This window comes from Homo sapiens, chromosome 1 (assembly GCF_000001405.40).
Source record: "Homo sapiens chromosome 1, GRCh38.p14 Primary Assembly".
NCBI lineage: Eukaryota > Metazoa > Chordata > Mammalia > Primates > Hominidae > Homo > Homo sapiens.
Window position 1 is genome coordinate 146,593,104 of NC_000001.11, and position 17,476 is coordinate 146,610,579.

At 36.3% G+C, this 17,476-nt stretch overlaps 1 pseudogene across 1 annotated transcript in view; it reads left to right on the top strand.

Moving 5' to 3' along the window:
• HYDIN2 (HYDIN axonemal central pair apparatus protein 2 (pseudogene)) overlaps positions 1-17,476 on the top strand; it is a 335,703-nt pseudogene that overhangs the window by 106,772 nt on the left and 211,455 nt on the right. Inside the window, exon 15 of the transcript NR_103556.2 lies at positions 1,969-2,068. The product of NR_103556.2 is annotated as an HYDIN axonemal central pair apparatus protein 2 (pseudogene) (transcript). The remainder of the gene's footprint in view (positions 1-1,968; positions 2,069-17,476) is intronic.

The window sequence follows — 17,476 nt, forward strand, 5'->3', positions numbered from 1 at the left end:
GACATTCTTTATTCCAGAAGTATGTTCTTTCTAGCCAGACTGCAAATAGAGAATGCACCAGGGACTGTCTGGAGCTGGAGCCTAATTATTTATCAAGTTGTCTTTCCTTAGTTTTCTATTTAGCTGGCGGGACTGTTTATAGATTTCTGGATGTGTTGATCGTTTATGCTCACTTGGCCCTATTTACAAAAATCATACAAAACACACACACATCTTTTCCCCTTTTCAATACTTTCATCTTAGTCCTTCTAAGTAGCACAAAAATAACATCGATCATGGTAGTCAGTTATTTACTGAGTTCTGACTGAGCATGGGGCAAAGTGTTTGACCTGCATGACTTTGTCAGACCTTAGGAACCCCTTTGAGGCAAGTGCTATCAGCATCTCTTTTTACAGCCTTGAGAAGCTAATGAAGAGGCCGCAGATTACATAGTTAAAAATACTAATCAAAGTATACCTAACAAGGAGATTCTGATACATTGCATTTTGCATTACCATTTTAAAACTTGGTTTCCTGATTATGACTTTTTGGTAGTTCCAATTAAAGGGAGAAATGCCACACTGGAGTAGAAGCAGGGTTTGACCAAGCTATTGTTCTACCTTGGGCCATTGCTATGTTTTTGTAGAGTAAGAGTGTTTCCTTATGCTGTCACCTCAAAAGTTAAAAACGTGGTGCCTCCAGCAAGGAAGTCAAGTACTTCTTCCTCTGTGACCCCTCTGGGCTGTATTTTTATAGACACAGCACTTACCTCATATACTGTTAAATGTTTGTATACATGTTTATCATCCCACTAAGGTATGAGTTCCCTGCAGTCACAGCCCACACCTTTCTGCTTCTCTGAAGCCCCAGTACTGGGAACACATTGGGCAAACAGTGAATAGCCACTGAATATACATTTCATTTTAAAATGTCTTATACACCCTAGTTTCCTTTAGTAACTCATTATATGTTCATAAATTCACTGAAGTTATCTTTGAAGTTTGTTTCCAACTTGTACCACCTCATAAGTTATCAAGAAGTATACATTTACTATCTGCTGGTGAAAGAATGCTTTCTTGTACTTATTAGAAAAATGTTCTCTTTAAGTTTCCTGGAATTGAACCCTTGTACACTGTTGGTGGGACTGTAGATTGGTACGGACATTATGGAAAACAGTATAGAGATTCCTCAAAAAATCATAAATAGAACTGTCATGTGATCCCACAATCCCTCATCTGGGTATATCCCCAAAGGAAATGAAATCAGGATCTCGAAGAGAGCTCTGCACCCCCATGTTCATTGCAGCATTATTCACAATGGCCAAGCTGTGGAAGCAACTGAAGTGTCCAGCGACAGAAGAATGAAAAAAGAAGTGTGTACATACAATGGAATATTATTCACTCTTACTAAGAAAGAGTTCCTGCCACTTGTGACAACATGAATGAATCTGGAGACATTGTGCTAAGTGAAATAAGCCAGACACAGAAAGACAAATACCACATGATCTCACTTATATGTGTGTGAAATCTTAAAAAAAAAAAAAAAAAAAAAAAAGGTCTAACTCATAGAAACAGTTTGGTAAGAGATTGGTGGTTACCAGGCATCAGAGGGTGGGGTTGGGGGCGGAAATGGGGAGATGTTGGTCAAAGGGTACAAACTTGTAGTTATAAGTTCTGGAGACCTAATGTAGTGCATGGTGACTATAGTTAATAATAATGTATGATATGTTGGGTACTTGCTAAGAGAGTAGACAGACCAGGTGCTCTCACCACGCACACACAAGTTAACTATGTGAGGAGATAGATGTGTTGATTTCCTTGACTGCAGTAATCATTTCACTATACAAATATATATCAAAACATGTTGTATACCTTAAACATATACAATTTTATGAAAAAAAAATTTCTTGGAGTTTTAATGTAATAACACTTACAAGCAGTGTCTTTCTTTTGTCATATTGTTTTTTAATGATTCTTTCATGTTTTTCAGGAAGGTGATGTCTGGCCCAACTCATCAGCTGAAATCACCGTGTACTTTAACCCACTAGAAGCCAAGCTCTATCAACAGACCATTTACTGCGACATTTTAGGTAGTGACCTCCTCCAAGTGGTAAACTCAGGTTACCAGGCACCCAGAGCATGAAGTGTGGTGTCTGAGTGTGTGTGTGTGTGCACATGTGCATGTGGGATCATGCCATGGGCGGTACATGATATTGATTATATTGATTAGGGGAATTATGGAGCCAAGCTATGCCCCTCTCACTTCTTCCTATAACAGATCAAACTTTAAAGTGCTTTACAATTGTGGTGGCATGTGGAGGAAATGGAAACTGTATTAGTCCATTTTCATACTGCTAATAATAACTACCCGAGATTGGGTAATTGATAAAGGAAAGAGGTTTAGTTGACTCACAGATCAGCACGACTGGGGAGACCTCAGGAAACTTACAATCATGGTGAAAGGCAAAGAGGAAGCAAGGCACCTTCTTCACAAGGCAGCAGGAGGGAGAAGTGCCGAGTAAAGGAGGAAAGAGCCCCTTATAAAACCATCGGATCTCGTGAGAACTCACTCACTATCACAAAAACAACAAGGGGGAAACTGCCCCCATGATTCAGTTACCTCCACATAGTCTTTCCCTTGACACGTGGGAATTATGGGAATTATAATTCAAGATGAGATTTGAGTGGGGACACAAAACCTAACCATATCAGGGACCATGGCTCTTAGAGCAGTAAAAATATTGCTTATGACCAATTCCCACAATCTCCTTTTTTGTTCCTTTTATAGTATTTGGTTACTAATTTTTTTCTTTTTAAGTTTTACCAAAATAATTCCAAGTGGGATGGGAAGGCAGCCTGGCAGAGGCCAGAGCAACCAGGAGGGTGCACAGGTGGGATGGCAACCTGATGATGACATCAGGAGATTTGATACATACAGGGAATTAAGCAGAAAAGTAAATACATTGAGGATGATGGGAACCAGTATTTCTCACTCTTGGAGGAAGGAGATACAAACATGGAAAATAGGGTGAAGCCAAACCCTTTGAAATTGGAATGGAATTAGAGTTGTCAATGTGAACTCAGAGTTGTTGAGTTCACACTGACATGTATAGATAGATATAAAAATAAATATACATGTAAATGTGTGTATATGCATGTGTACATGCATGTGTGTATTTCCTAGCTAGGTCCATTGAGAAGTCCTGGAAGCTTTGAGACTCTATAGCAGTGAGCACACCGATCACCCAAAGCTTGGTTTCTAAATGCCACTCTTTAGTGAAAGGAACTGCTTAACTCCAGGACCAAGGTAGGGAAAGAATAAGATGAGCCTGGATTATCTCCTTTGCTAGACGGTAAGGAAATGCTCAAAGAATGATAGGCACATGTCGAAATGACACAGAAGACAGCAAAGAAACTCCCACTGACCACATTTGGAATGAGTCAAGAATCAAAATAATGATACTAATAGATTATTATAATCCATTGAATAAATAGGAATCTGTGAATCCATTTAATGTACTACTTGGCAATCATCATTGCAATAACCAATTCAGGTAAAAGCGTCAGTGGATCTTAAGAAAATGGGTGAAAGTAGGGCATGGAATAGTCTGAAAACATCTTTCCTCAAAATACTTTTTATGAAGGGGAGAAAACTAACTTTGCAGTGAAGAAGCCTGGGAGATGCTATCTTGGTTTATCCCAGTAATAATACAGCAAATCAACCTCTCAGATCACATGCCAGGATGCAGTGAGAACACAGCATCCCTTCTATGATATCAGGGCCAAGATACCTAAATTGGATCTAATCAGGAGGAAACATCAGGCAATCCCAAATTGAAGAACAAAATAAAATGACCAGCCTGTAATCTTTAAAAATATCAAGGTCATGACGGCCGGGCACGGTGACTTCCGGCTATAATCCCAGCAATTTGGGAGGCTGACGTGAGAGGATTTCTTGAGTCCAGGAATTCAATATGGTCCTGGGAAACATAGTGAGACCCCATCTCTACAAAAAATTAAAACTTAATCAAGTGTGGTGGCACATGCCTGTAGTCCTAGCTACTCAGTAGGCCAAAGTGGGAGGATCACTTAAGCCCAGAAGTTTGAGGCTGTAGTGAGCTGTGATTGCACCACGGGACACCAGCCTGGGTGACAGAGTGAGACCCTGTCTCAAAAAAAAAAAAAAAAAAAAAAAATCAAGATCATGAAAGTCAAGAAATCCCGAAGAACTGTTCCAGGTTGAAGGAGACTAGAGAGACATGGTAATTGAGTGCAAAATGTGATCCTGGATTGGGCCCTTTGCTATAAAGGACATTATTGGGCATGGGATAGATATTTAATAGAAGTTCTTGTACTACTCTGGAAACCTTTCTGCATTTTAAAAATGTTTCAGAATTGTGTTTAAATGCCAATGCCAATAAATAAGTAAAACATGTAGATAGTAAAATTATGAAGCTAAATGTTAGTCTGTGTCACCACTGCTACTTCCAAAAACTTCTTTTGGCTGTTTCTTGTGATGGTGGTTTCCCTTGCCAGCTCTATGCTTATGTTGCTTTTGGTGGATTTATTAACTTCGTACATTTTCTTTTGACGCCCCAGTATGAAAGATGAGGGTTTAGTTCACTTTTCGGTTCCTAGGTTTTTCCCCTTCCTAAGTTTACTGAGTTAGGATTTACATGCAGTGAAATTCATCATTGTTTGGAGCATGGTTCTGTGAATTTTGACAAACCTAAATAGTCATATAACCACCAAAATCAAGATGTGGAAATGTGTATCTGAGATCACCCCATAAAGTTCCCTATGCTTCTTTGCAGACAATCCTGTCCCCCAACCTCAGCCCCTGACAACCCAATTGTTTTATTTTATCTTATGAGGTTTATTTATAGCCTTAAATAATACACTTAAGCCTGTATTTTTTGTTCCATCAACTTTACATTATCTCTTGATGTGTAAGGATTTTGGTGCCTATAACTAGGTTATCCCCGGCTAGTCCACTAGCCTTCTCCCTCTAACCTCTGTGAGCTATTCCATTTTTACATAATCATTATTGATAACCACTGTTAAGTCTTCTTCTTACATAAATATTATACACTGCAGAGCCAAATAGGTTCTGGGATTACATTTTATCCTGTTTGTTCAGTGCTCTGGTTCCTAGTCACTCAAAGAATGTCCCTAAGGTCCATATCAAGTATATTCTTTCTTTACCAATTTATCAGTTACTCACAACTATGCCTCCTTTTAGTTTACTTCTTAACTGACTCTTTTGTACAGCTTTTGATTTCCCCCCTGTGGTTTCTAATTCCTTATTTCTTCACTCCTATCTAATTTTATAATTCATTCTCTTTTTCTCTTTGAAGATACTGATCAGAGCCTATCAGCTTCTTATTTTAATTCAGATCAGTCACCTCCTGAATGAACAGTTGTTATCCAGGAATTTTAAAAAATATTTCTATGTTCAGTCACACCTTTTCATTCTCAGTCTGCTCAAGTAACTTCCTTAGAAATGATGTATATAATGTGTGTATGTAAATATATGGAAGTGGAAACTTTGATCCTTGAATGCCCGAAAATACCTTATTTTGCCTTCATACTCACTTGGCAGTTTAGCTGACTATAGGATCCCAGGTTCAAAATCATTTCTCCTCAGAACACTGGAGACTTTGTGACTACTTGATTGTAAAAAATTCCAAAGCCTGAGGTCATCTAATGTCCATTCCTTTATAGGCAGCCTCTTCTTTTTCTCTGGATGTTTTGGGGGCCTTCTTTTCATATTTGGGGTCTGAAATGTGATGAAGTCATGTCCAGGAGTGGGTTTTTCTTATTCATCCTCCTCAGCCTTCTGTGGGCCATTTGAATCTGATGACTCACATCACTTCAGCTCTAAGAAATTTTATTGTGTCTTTGATATTCTTTCCTCCATTTTTTTTCATTTTATTTGTCTGGAAAACCTGTGAATCCAATGTTAGACCTGGAAGATTGATCATTTGTTGTCAAAGAACAAGATTTTAATCATCAAACACTACTAAGAAATGACACTAAATTTAATTCAAGTCTATGCCTAGAGAAATACTGATGTTCATGAATCAGGAAAGATGGCAGGAGTGTGCTGCATAGCTGTAGCTCTCCGCAGCCACCAGCAGACCTGTGGCCAGCACCTGTGGCATCATTCCTGATGTGCAGAGCCACCGCCCTGAACTTAAATAGTCCGCTTGGTACATTACTGCTATTCAGTTATTCAAATGGCAATTTTCCCTTTTATACAGATAACAACAACAAACCCAAGTTACTCTGACTCAAATTGTTTCCCTTTGCAGTTGAGACTTTCCTTGCCTGTCTTGAACAGGTTCAAGAAAGCATTTTGCCACAGTGGTTTCCGGGCATCTTCCATTTTGGAACTTTCTTGCAGAGGTACAAGCAGGTGTTTCTCAAAAACTTGGAAAGTTTTCTTCTTTGTGGTCAAGGTGAAGCACTGAACTTTAGCATTTGCCAATTGCTTTGCAAGAGACTCAGCTCAGTTTTTTTCTGAATACTTCCTAGCGATCTTTCATTTCTGCAATAATATTTTTAATTTTCAAGACCTCTTTTGTCCTCTATTCCTGTTTCATAACTAAGTGTTTGTTTATGGATGCAACTTCTTCTCATTGATCTGGGGATAATCATTTGAACTTTCGTTTCTTAAAAAATAAATCTTATGTTCTCTGAATTGCCCATAATGTTCAGCTGTTTGTCTTTCATGCATTCATGGGGTTCCTTCCAATGCCTTCTGGTCCATGGTCATTCATTCGTATGTAAGAATGAGAAAATGGCTTTCACGTTGATGGTAGCTAGTGCTGCTTACCTCTGCTGTTTTATATCTAGGTTTCCCAGGAAAGTATGGCTGCTGTGTTTGTTTTAAACCTGGGGGGAGAGTATAAGAGTGCACTGTCAGCAAGAATGCACATCATTTGCATCCTTCAAGTGCAGCAATTCCCCTATTCTGCCACACCGTGCTGTTTTCGGTCCATATCTATGCAGTCACTTTTTTCTGTGTAAAAGAGGCTCAGGCAGTCTAGGAATGTGCAGAAGTATGGGCTCCCTGACCCAAGCCTGTGCTACCCTGCACCTCCCCCAGGTGTGTGTCTTCTCCCAATGAAGTTTCCCTCACCTTTCCTCGATAAAACCATCACCTTGACTTTTATGATAGTTGTTTCCTTGCTTTCATGTATAATTTTGCCACCTACATATTCATCCCTAAGCAAAATAGTATAGTTTTGCCTGTTTTGGAAATTGATATATTGATATATATATATGAAATATATATATTATATATATATGAAATATATATATAATATATATATGAAATATATATATTATATATATATGAAATATATATATAATATATATATTTATATATGTTTATATATATTTATATATTATATTATTTATATATTTATAATTATATATAAATATATTATATATAAATATATATATAAAATATATTATATGTATTTTATTTTATTTATATATAAATATATATAAAAATCTATAAATATATAACTTTTATTTAGATATAAATTTATATATATTTATTATATTTATTTATTATATATATTATATCTATTATATATTATGTATATCATAATTATATATAATATAATATATATATATCCACACATACATACAGGACTCATCCTGTACATCTTATGCTGCTAGCACCAAGAAAATAAAGCTACTCAATAAATGTTGATTAAATGAATAAGCAAATAACTGGAAAAAAATGACTAAGTGAATCCTGTTTTGATTTGACCTCTCCCTTGCATGTGAATGCAGAATTCTCCAGACGTCCCCAGAATGAATGCAGAATGGACTAGGAGTTTTTGGATTGACATAGGTCTGTCTCCATCCTGCAGACGAGCATCACCTACAATGGACAACCTAATAGGTCTAGAGGAAATGTTAGCACAGCAGTGTCAGACATGGGCTGGAAATGCTCCAGTGGCCCCTGTGCCACAGGTGGTGGGACCTCCCTCCCATCTGCAACTCCCTGTGGACATTGTGCTTGGCCTTATTCCAAGGGGTTGGCTACTCTCCAGGAGGTTCCCAACCATTACACAACAAGTGAGATTTCCCTATTGTTTTGTTTGTAATTCTGAATTCTCCCACAGAATTCACATCCTGGGTAAGCCGAATAGTATAATTTTCCATCTGCATGACATTCTTCTTTATTTTGTTAGTGGATTATTAAAAGATATGCTTGCCAGGGAAGAGCTTTGCTTACATAGTAATTCCATATTATCTTCCCTGTAAATTCTGTGCAATTCTCTGTGTCTTTTCAAGAGCTGCTGATGATTCCTTACTATTATCTTCAATGAGTTGGTAAAACCTCTTGGTCTTAGGTCACTAAGAAATACTTGTTAGACAGATAAAAAATCTCCTTCCCTTGTTTTGTTTTGTTTTCCTTTGCTTTAAGATACACGTGGCATGTAGAAGCAAATACATATAAATAATTCTTTCCTCCTCATGTCGTTTTGCGTAAACGACAGTATACTTTACATAATGGTTTTAACATTGCTTTTAAAATATTTCCCAGGGATTATATACAATACTAAATAAAAGATGTCATTCTTTTCATGATTGCATAGGAACCCTTTGCATTTACATACTGCAATTTAATTTTTAACCTTGTGTCATTATTGAATAGAATGCAGATTCAGAAATTACATAATACATTTAGTGGTAAGCACAGAAGTGGCCTCCCAAAGATGTCCAGGTCCTGACCCCCAGAATCTGGGGACATGTTACATTAAATGGCAAAGACGAATCAAGGCAGCAGATGGAATTAAAGTTACTAATGAGCTGACTTTAAGATAGGGAGACTATCCTGCATCATGTTGGTGGCTCAGTATAATCACAAGGGTCCATAAATGCCCAAGAAGTAGGCAGAAGGATTGGTCTCAGTGTCAGAGGTCTGTGATATGAGAAAGTCTCAACCAGTCATTCCCAGGCAGTAAAGATGGACAAGGTAAGGAATTCAGGGAGCCTCCAGAAACTGGAAAATGCAAGAAAATGAATTCCCCCTACCCCAGGGTCTCCAGGAAGGAATGCAGCCCTGGGAATATGTTGATTTTAGCCCAGTGAGACCCATGTTGGACTTTGTTTCTAGTTGTGTATTTTCATCTTAAAAAATTTTTTTTAATTGACAAATAATAACCATACATATTCATGGGGTACATAGTGATGTTTCAATATGCATAATATACAGCGATCAGATCACTTTGGACTTTTGACGTCCAGAACTTTCAGATAATACATTTGTGCAGTAAGCCACTAAGTTTGTGACAGTTTCTTGTAGCAACAATTGGAAACTTATACACATGCCGGTACATTATAACAAATAATTATAAGGCAAGCACGATGTTATTGCCACCAAGATCAATAATAGAATATTTTCAGCCCCTAGAAGCCTCAGTGTGTTCCTTCCCAATCATACTCCTCTCACTGCAGCCTCCCCTGAAATCACCACCATTCTGTTCTTGATGACCATCATATCCTTGCTTTTTTTGTGGTTGTTTTTTGTTTTTGTTCTTTTGCTTATGATTTAAACAAAAAATTAACTTTTAGGTTCAGGGGTACGTGTGCAGTTTTGTTTTTGTTGTACAGATTTTTGTCACACAGGTTCTAAGCCTAGTACCCAATAGTTATTTTTCCTGATCCTCTTCCTCCTCTCACCCTCCACCCTCCACTAGGCCTCAGTGTCTGTTGTTCCCCTCTTTGTGTCCGTGTGTTCTCATCATTTAGCTCCCACTTATAAGTGAGAATATGCAGTATTTTGTTTTTCTGTTTCTGCATTAGTTTGCTAGGGATGATGGCCTCCAGCTTCATCCACATTCCTGCAGAGGACATGATCTCATTCTTTTTTATGGCTGCGTAGTATTTTGTAGTGTGTATGTATCACATTTTCTTTATCCAGTCTACCATTGATGGGCTTTTAAGTTGATTCCGTCTTTGCTATTGTGACTAGTGCTGCAATGAACATATACATGCATGTTTTCGTGGTAGAACAATTTATATCCTTTTGGGTTTATACCCAGTAATGGTATTGCTGGGTCGAATGGTAGTTCTATTTTTTGTTTTTTGAAGAATCACCACACTGCTTTCCATAATGGTTGAACTAATTTACACTCCCACCAACAGTGTATAAGTGTTCCCTTTTCTTTACAACCTCACCAGCATCTGTTATTTTTTGACTTTTTAGTAATAGCCTTTCTGACTATATGAGATGATATCTCATTGTGGTTTTGACTTCCATTTCTCTAATGATCAGTGATATTGAGCTTTTTTTCATATGCTCGTTGGCCACATATATGTCTTCTTTTGAAAAGTATTTGTTCATTTTTTTGCCCACTTTTTAATAGGATTGTTTGTTTTTTTCTTATAAATTGGTTTAAGTTCCTTATAGATGCTGGATTTTAAATCTTTGTCAGATGCATAGTTTGCAAATATTTTTTCCCATTCTGTGGGTTTTCCCTCTTTAGTCTGCCCATAGTTTCTTTTGCTGTGCAGAAGCTCTTAAGCTTTTTTTTTTTTAATTTAATTTTACTTGTTTTTTATTATGCTTTAAGTGCTAGGGTACATGTGCACAACGTGCAGGTTTGTTACATATGTATACATGTGCCATGTTGGTGGGCTGCACCCATTAACTCGTCATTTAACATTAGGCATATCTCCTAATGCTTTCCCTCCCCCCACCCCACAACAGGCCCCAGTGTGTGATGTTCTCCTTCCTGTGTCCATGTGTTCTCATTGTTTAATTCCCACCTATGAGTGAGAACATGCGGTGTTTGGTTTTTTGTCCTTGTGATAGTTTGCTGAGAATGATGGTTTCCAGCTTCATCCATGTCCCTACAAAGGACATGAACTCATCATTTTTTATGGCTGCATAGTATTCCGTAGTGTATATGTGCCACATTTTCTTAATCCAGTCTATCATTGTTGGACATTTGGGTTGGTTCCAAGTCTTAATTAGATATCATTTGTCAATTTTTGCTTTTGTTGCAATTGCTTTCATGTATAGTTTTTACCCAATGTATGTATCTCTAAACAATACAATTTAGTAATGCCTGTTTTGAAATGTACATATCTGAAATGAGCCTACATGTCTCATCTATGTTGCTACTTTTGCTCTAGTTGTATTTCATTTTCATTGTTGTACAGTGTTCCATTATGTAAATATATGTTCAGAGACAGGAAATAACAGGGAAGGCTACTGGTCATAAGGGAGGCCTCTGAGGATGCATGAGATTTAACCCACGTCTCCAACTGCAACCCTCTTTTCTTTTGAAAGCTTTTGATATCTAGGCACCATGAGTAGAAAGAGGTACAAAAGCATAGTTCCTGCCCTGAGAAAGCATAGAATTCAGTGGAGGAAACTGACACATAGCCAACAGTTATAGTGCACTGCTACTGTAGAAGTTGATTATTATTATAGAAGCGGATACAGGGTACACAGCTCAGGCTTGGGATGTCAAGGAAAGCTTTCCAGAGAAAGTGACCCTTGAAGTATTTGTTAAGCACGTAAAAACATAAACAAAGGCTGGGCATGTAAGTCAGGGAAATACTTTGTGAAAATACATAAAGAAGCATTATGTGAAAATACATAGCAAGAACATGAAGTGGCAAAGAATTGCAAGTTCTTAGTGTGTGACTGCTATGGAGATTGAGAGAGAGAGAGAGAGAGAGGGAGGGAGGGAAGGAAAATGAAGCTGAAAGCTAGAGTAGTAGGTAGGATCCATTCATAAAGGGCTGCCCTTGGATGCCAGCCTAAGGACATTGGACTTTCTGCTGAGTACAGTTGGCAGTCACTGAAGCACCCTAAGCATGTTATGGCAAATATAACATCATGAAAAGCCTTTCCATTAATCTGAAACTGAATAATTTTTCTGCATTTTAAGTCATTCTGTTTTCTTAGAAATAGTTAAATCTGTATGCTAGATATTTATAAAGACTTGCTGATGGTTTGATCTGGCTCTTGAAACTGATCTTTCATCTATTTTGACTTTCTAATGGAATGTGGAAATACCTAACTTTATCAGGAAGATTACCTTTTTAAAAAAATGCAAAGGGAAGCTACATATATTTGGTTTGGATCAGCATATGGGAACTTCAAAAAGAAGTAATACTCTCTAATTTAAACTGTGAAATGCATTGCTAGGTAACATTGTGAAATGCATTGCTAGGTAACGGAGTCAAATGCAGAAAAGCAGCATGGTGGAAATGATTCCAGATGCTCCCACTTCCTTCAGAGACCCAATTAAGATGAAACCTCATTGTCCATTTGCTTTCTGTGAGTCATAAAAGGGAAAATTTTGAATTTTAAAGACAATTCAGGGCTTCTGATTTTTATCTTAATTGAATTAAAGAATGGAGATTGAATTAGATTTATTAAAAAGAAAATCACCCCAATCATTGAAAACACTTTTGAGTTTTCAGAGTAATAAGTAAGTAATATGCTACATATTGGTTACTCAGCATCTCTCCAATGTTGTTTTCCTCTTATCTCAAATTTCTCCTTTTGGAATTTTTTTTTTTTAGATATATGTGTTTCCTGTGGAATTACCATGTCTCTTAAACGTCTCTGCACATTTCTGGTCTCACTATGATGTATTCTGGGTATTTTTCTAAGATCTTTTTTCTAGTTGACTAATTCTTTCTTCAGCTATATCTACTCTTCAGTGTATTCATCTGTTCAGTTTTTAATTCATTGACTTGGCTTTTTATTTTTAGGAGTTATATATAGTTTGAATATTTTCATATTTTATTCCTTCATTATGCTTTCTATTTCTTCATTTATCTCTTCAAAGATTTTAAGAATGCTATATGAGACTTTTTTTTATTACCTCAAACTCTTAGGATACCAGCTCACATGTTTGTAGTAATCACTGATTTTCCTCCTACTAGATTGTTTCTTCAGATGGCTTGAAATGTTTGTATTATGAACTCAATTTTAGCTTGGGTACCGAGTTATGAAACTATTCCCTCAGAGCAGATTTTTATTTCTTCTGCCAAGGGTCCTGTGATTTTTTATTTTCTCAGCTTCTGATTCTCGCACCTATCAGATAGTCTAAATTTCGATCTCATATGTGTACATGGGATTTTGATTTATCATAGGAGGCTCTCCCTCCTATTCAGAATTCTAAGTAGAAGACAGGCTTCATCACTGCTTCCCTAGACCAATGAGTAGAATTATTCTAGTTGCCTTTGTGAAAAGAGGTAGTCTTTCTACGGTCCTGGATTTATGCTAGAATCTTAGTTTAATTCTCCATTCCCAGATGGGAACAAGGCTGTGTCCTCTCTCTGTGAGGGTATAACTGGACCCACTAAACCATAAGTTCTGTATCTACTCTACACATCTCTGGGCCTTCTTTGGGTCATCTCACTAGTTTACTATGCTAGCTGAGTTCCCTTTTTATTTCTAGAACCTGTTATTTTCTTTCCTTTATTTTGAACCTGGAAAAGCATTAAAAATATTTATTTGCCATGTTTTTAATCAATTCTATTTTTTTTTGTATTTTGGGTGGAAGAATGGACTGCATCAGTTAACTTGGACATACCATCAGAAGTTAATGTTATTAATTTTCATATCTTTCTCAAAGTAATGTACTTAGAGAATCTGTATCAGAATCCCCCTGGCTACTCATTAAGAATGTAGATTCTTGGGTTTTATATATGTTTTATTGAATCAAAATCTGTGGAGACGATGCTGGAGAATATTCATTTTAAACAAAGCCTACAAAGTAAGTGTAGTTAACTAGTACAAGGTTGCAGGATATGAGATCTATACAGAGGACTGAAATTTTAAAAGGCAGTATCACTTACAATAACATTGAGAAATATAAAATAATTAGAGATAAATTTGACAAAATGTATACAAGACCCATATACTGAAAACTATGAAAGATTAATGAGAGAAATTAAAGACCTAAACAAATAGAAAAATACAGCTTGTTCATAGATTGGTAAATTCAATATGGCTATTCAATAATATCTTAATGACATCTTAATGCCATTTCTCCCCCAAATTCATCTATAGATTTAATTGAAATCAAAATTAAAATACAAGATGGTTTTTTTGTAGAAATTGACAAGCTGATTCTAAAATTCACATGGAAATGCAAACAACCTAGAATAGCTGAAACAACTTTGGAAAAGAAGAATAAAATGAAAGGACTCCTACTACCAGAGTTCAAGATGATTTTTAAGCTACCATAATCAAGATAATCCAGGATAATCTCCCCATTTCAAAACTCTTAATCACATCTTTTGACTTATAAGGTAATATTTACAGATTCAGGAATGAGGATGTGAATATCTTTGGGGGCCATTATTCAGCCTGCCATAGATCTCATGTGGATTTCCAGCTGTTTTAGCTCTTTACACTAAATGATCCATCTTTTCTCACTGATATTCAACATCAGCTCTCTCATAAATCAAATTTACATAATAATTTTATGTTCACATTATAGTATATGAACGCATTTGTATATAAACACAAAGACACTTGCAGATTAATCTTATTTGTGTCTCAATAATTCAGTAAGGTAGGCTGGAATTATTATCTTTATTTTACAGATGAGAAGGCTAAAGCTTAGAGAATTTAGGTGAGTTGTCTGTGGGGCTTCTTAATCCAAGATTTGAATTCTAGGTTGTGACAGTCCTGGTCCCTGTCCTGTACCACACTACCCCATAAAGACATGGTTCCGCTGAAATAGTGCAACCCATATTCCATTCTTGTAACTCTCAGAAACAGTCAGGTTCCCAGCCCATCCAGAAACTCTATCCAGTTTTTCTAAAACATTTTAAAACACCTATATAACAACTCATCAAAGATTCCTGTATAACACAAGGCATTTAAAATATTCAAATTACCTCTATAATGCTTAAATAAGTAAGTATATAAATGGGTGTATTGGTTTGTAGCACGTAAAGATACTGTACAATTTTAGACATGAATTACATTTTCTTTCTGCACTGCTGTAAACATGAACTGTAATACAAACAATAAAATAAGTATTAAAGATTCTAAAAGTCTAGGATCTAAAGATTTTGTCTAAATTATTCCCTGGTTGGTAGTTGCCCTCAGTACCTGGCAGAAACAAATTCTAGGACCCATGAAAGACTAAACCATCAGGGAAATTGTGGGAAGATGAGCTGATAATGCATAACACATTTTAAACGAGGAAAGCACGAAACAAATCTGTCTTGTCAGAACAGCTGAAGGTCGGGCTGTAACACACAATACATTTTACTGCTGAAACTCAAGCAAACATAAATGTTTTTGCTGGCACATGCATACATTCATATCATACTTATAATATTGTTTTCATTTAGATAATGAATTTAGGTAAAACAACTTACATCATATTATTATTAAATGTGAAAATTCTGATAATGAGCTTTGGGGTTCCAAGAAATAACCATATAATAAACAATTTTGTGCACACAAACACACAACAAAATGTATTAGTTAACATTTCAGCAAGTTTTGTGTTTTTAAAATTTATATTGAAATTACACAAAATAATATTTGTATTATATAGTTAAGATATAAGAAATAATAGTAAGATAAACAACTGTGAACCTGTCACCCACGTTAAGAAATGGGACTCTACCATATTTTAGAATATCTGTGTCCTTCTGTTTCCTGCAGAGAGGTAACTATCCATTTAAAATTTTGTGTAGTCAGTTAATCATTTCCTTGGTTTTCTTCATACTGCTTTTTAGCCATATGTGGGTATAACCCATAACAATATATAACTTATTTTTGCATGTTTTAAACTTTACGTAAATATTATGATACTATATTTGTTTTGCTGAGATTCACTCATGTCATGCATGAGACTCTAGTTTAACAGTTAATATTCTATTATTTGAATATATAAAAATTCCTATCCAGTTGGACATTTGTGTTGTTTCTAACTTAATGCTGTTATGCTATTGAGAATAATGCTCTTATGAACACTCTTGAACATGTTTTCAGGTACATGGTGCCAAATTTTTCTAGGATATATCCCCAGGAGTGGCAACTCCAGGACATACAGGATGTATACACTCAGGTTTACTAGGTAATCAGACTTCTCCAAAGGGGTTGTGCCCGTCTACTTTCCTACCTGCAGGAGATGTGCCTATAACCTTACTCCATAACCTTGACTTCTCTTAGTATTGATCAACTTTTAAAATTTTGCTCCTCCGCTAGTTGTGAAATGGAATCTCACTGTGGCTTTGATTAATATTTCTGCAATTATGAATTTCATTATGTTAATGAAAATAGCATGTTATATTGACTGGCCATTTCTGTTTCATCTCCTGTGAAATTCGTATTTGGCCTTTGCCCATTTTTCTATTGTGTTGTCTTTGTATTGTTGATTCATAGGGGCTTTTGATGTATTTGGGATGTAACTGGCTTGATATGTCCTGCAAATATCTTCTCCTAGTTTGTGTCTTGTCCGTTCACTCTCATTAAGGTGATTTTAGTGAACAAGAGTTTTAATGTAATTGCATTTGATAATCTTTTATTTTATAATTTGCTCACTTTTATTGTTAAAATCCCTTTCTCTACACCAAGTTGGTAAAGAGATCATTCTATATTTCTTTCTAAAAAGTTTCATAGTTTACCATCACATTGATCCAACTTGAGTTGACTTTTGTGTAGAGTAGATGGGAGGGACTCTGTGTCAGTTTGTTATTGCTGCTGAAACAAGTTACGAGTTACTTAGTGACTTAAAACAACACACATTTATTCTCTTACAGTTCTGGAATTCAGAAGTCTGAAATCAGTTTCACTGAGCTAAAATCAGGTGTCAACAGGGCTGGTTCCTTTTGGAGATTCCTGGGAAAAATTTGTTCCTTACTTTTTCCAGCTTTTAAAGTTGCCAGCATTCCATGGCTTGTGGTTGCATCACTCTAATCTGGTTGCATCATTGCATTGTCTTTTCATCTTCTGTGTCAAGCTTCCCTCTGCTTTCCTCTTAAGGACATTTGTGATTATATTAGGGCCCACCAAGATAGTCTAGGATAATCTCCCCATGTCTAAATTATTAATTTAATTACCTCTTTTGACATATAAGGCAACATTCACCCTTTTGCCATATAAGGCAATATTTAGATTCAGGAGTGAGAATGTAAATATCTTTGGAGGCCATTATTCAGCCTACCGCAGATCCCATGTGGATATCAGCTGATTTAGCTCCCTACACTATGTAGCCATCTTTCCTCACTGATATTCAACACCTACTCTGATATAAATCAAATTCACATGTATTTGTGCATCTATTCTGAATTTCTCTTCTGTTTCCTTTGTCATTTTGCACTTTCTGCCCCAGTACCACACTATGTTAATTACAGTAGCTTTCCACTAGATTTGAGTTTATGAAAGGGCAAGTTCTCCCAATTTGTTTTTCCTTCGGCATGTCTTCTTTTTATTGGCCCTTTGATTTTCCATTTAAATTTTAAAATCAACCCAC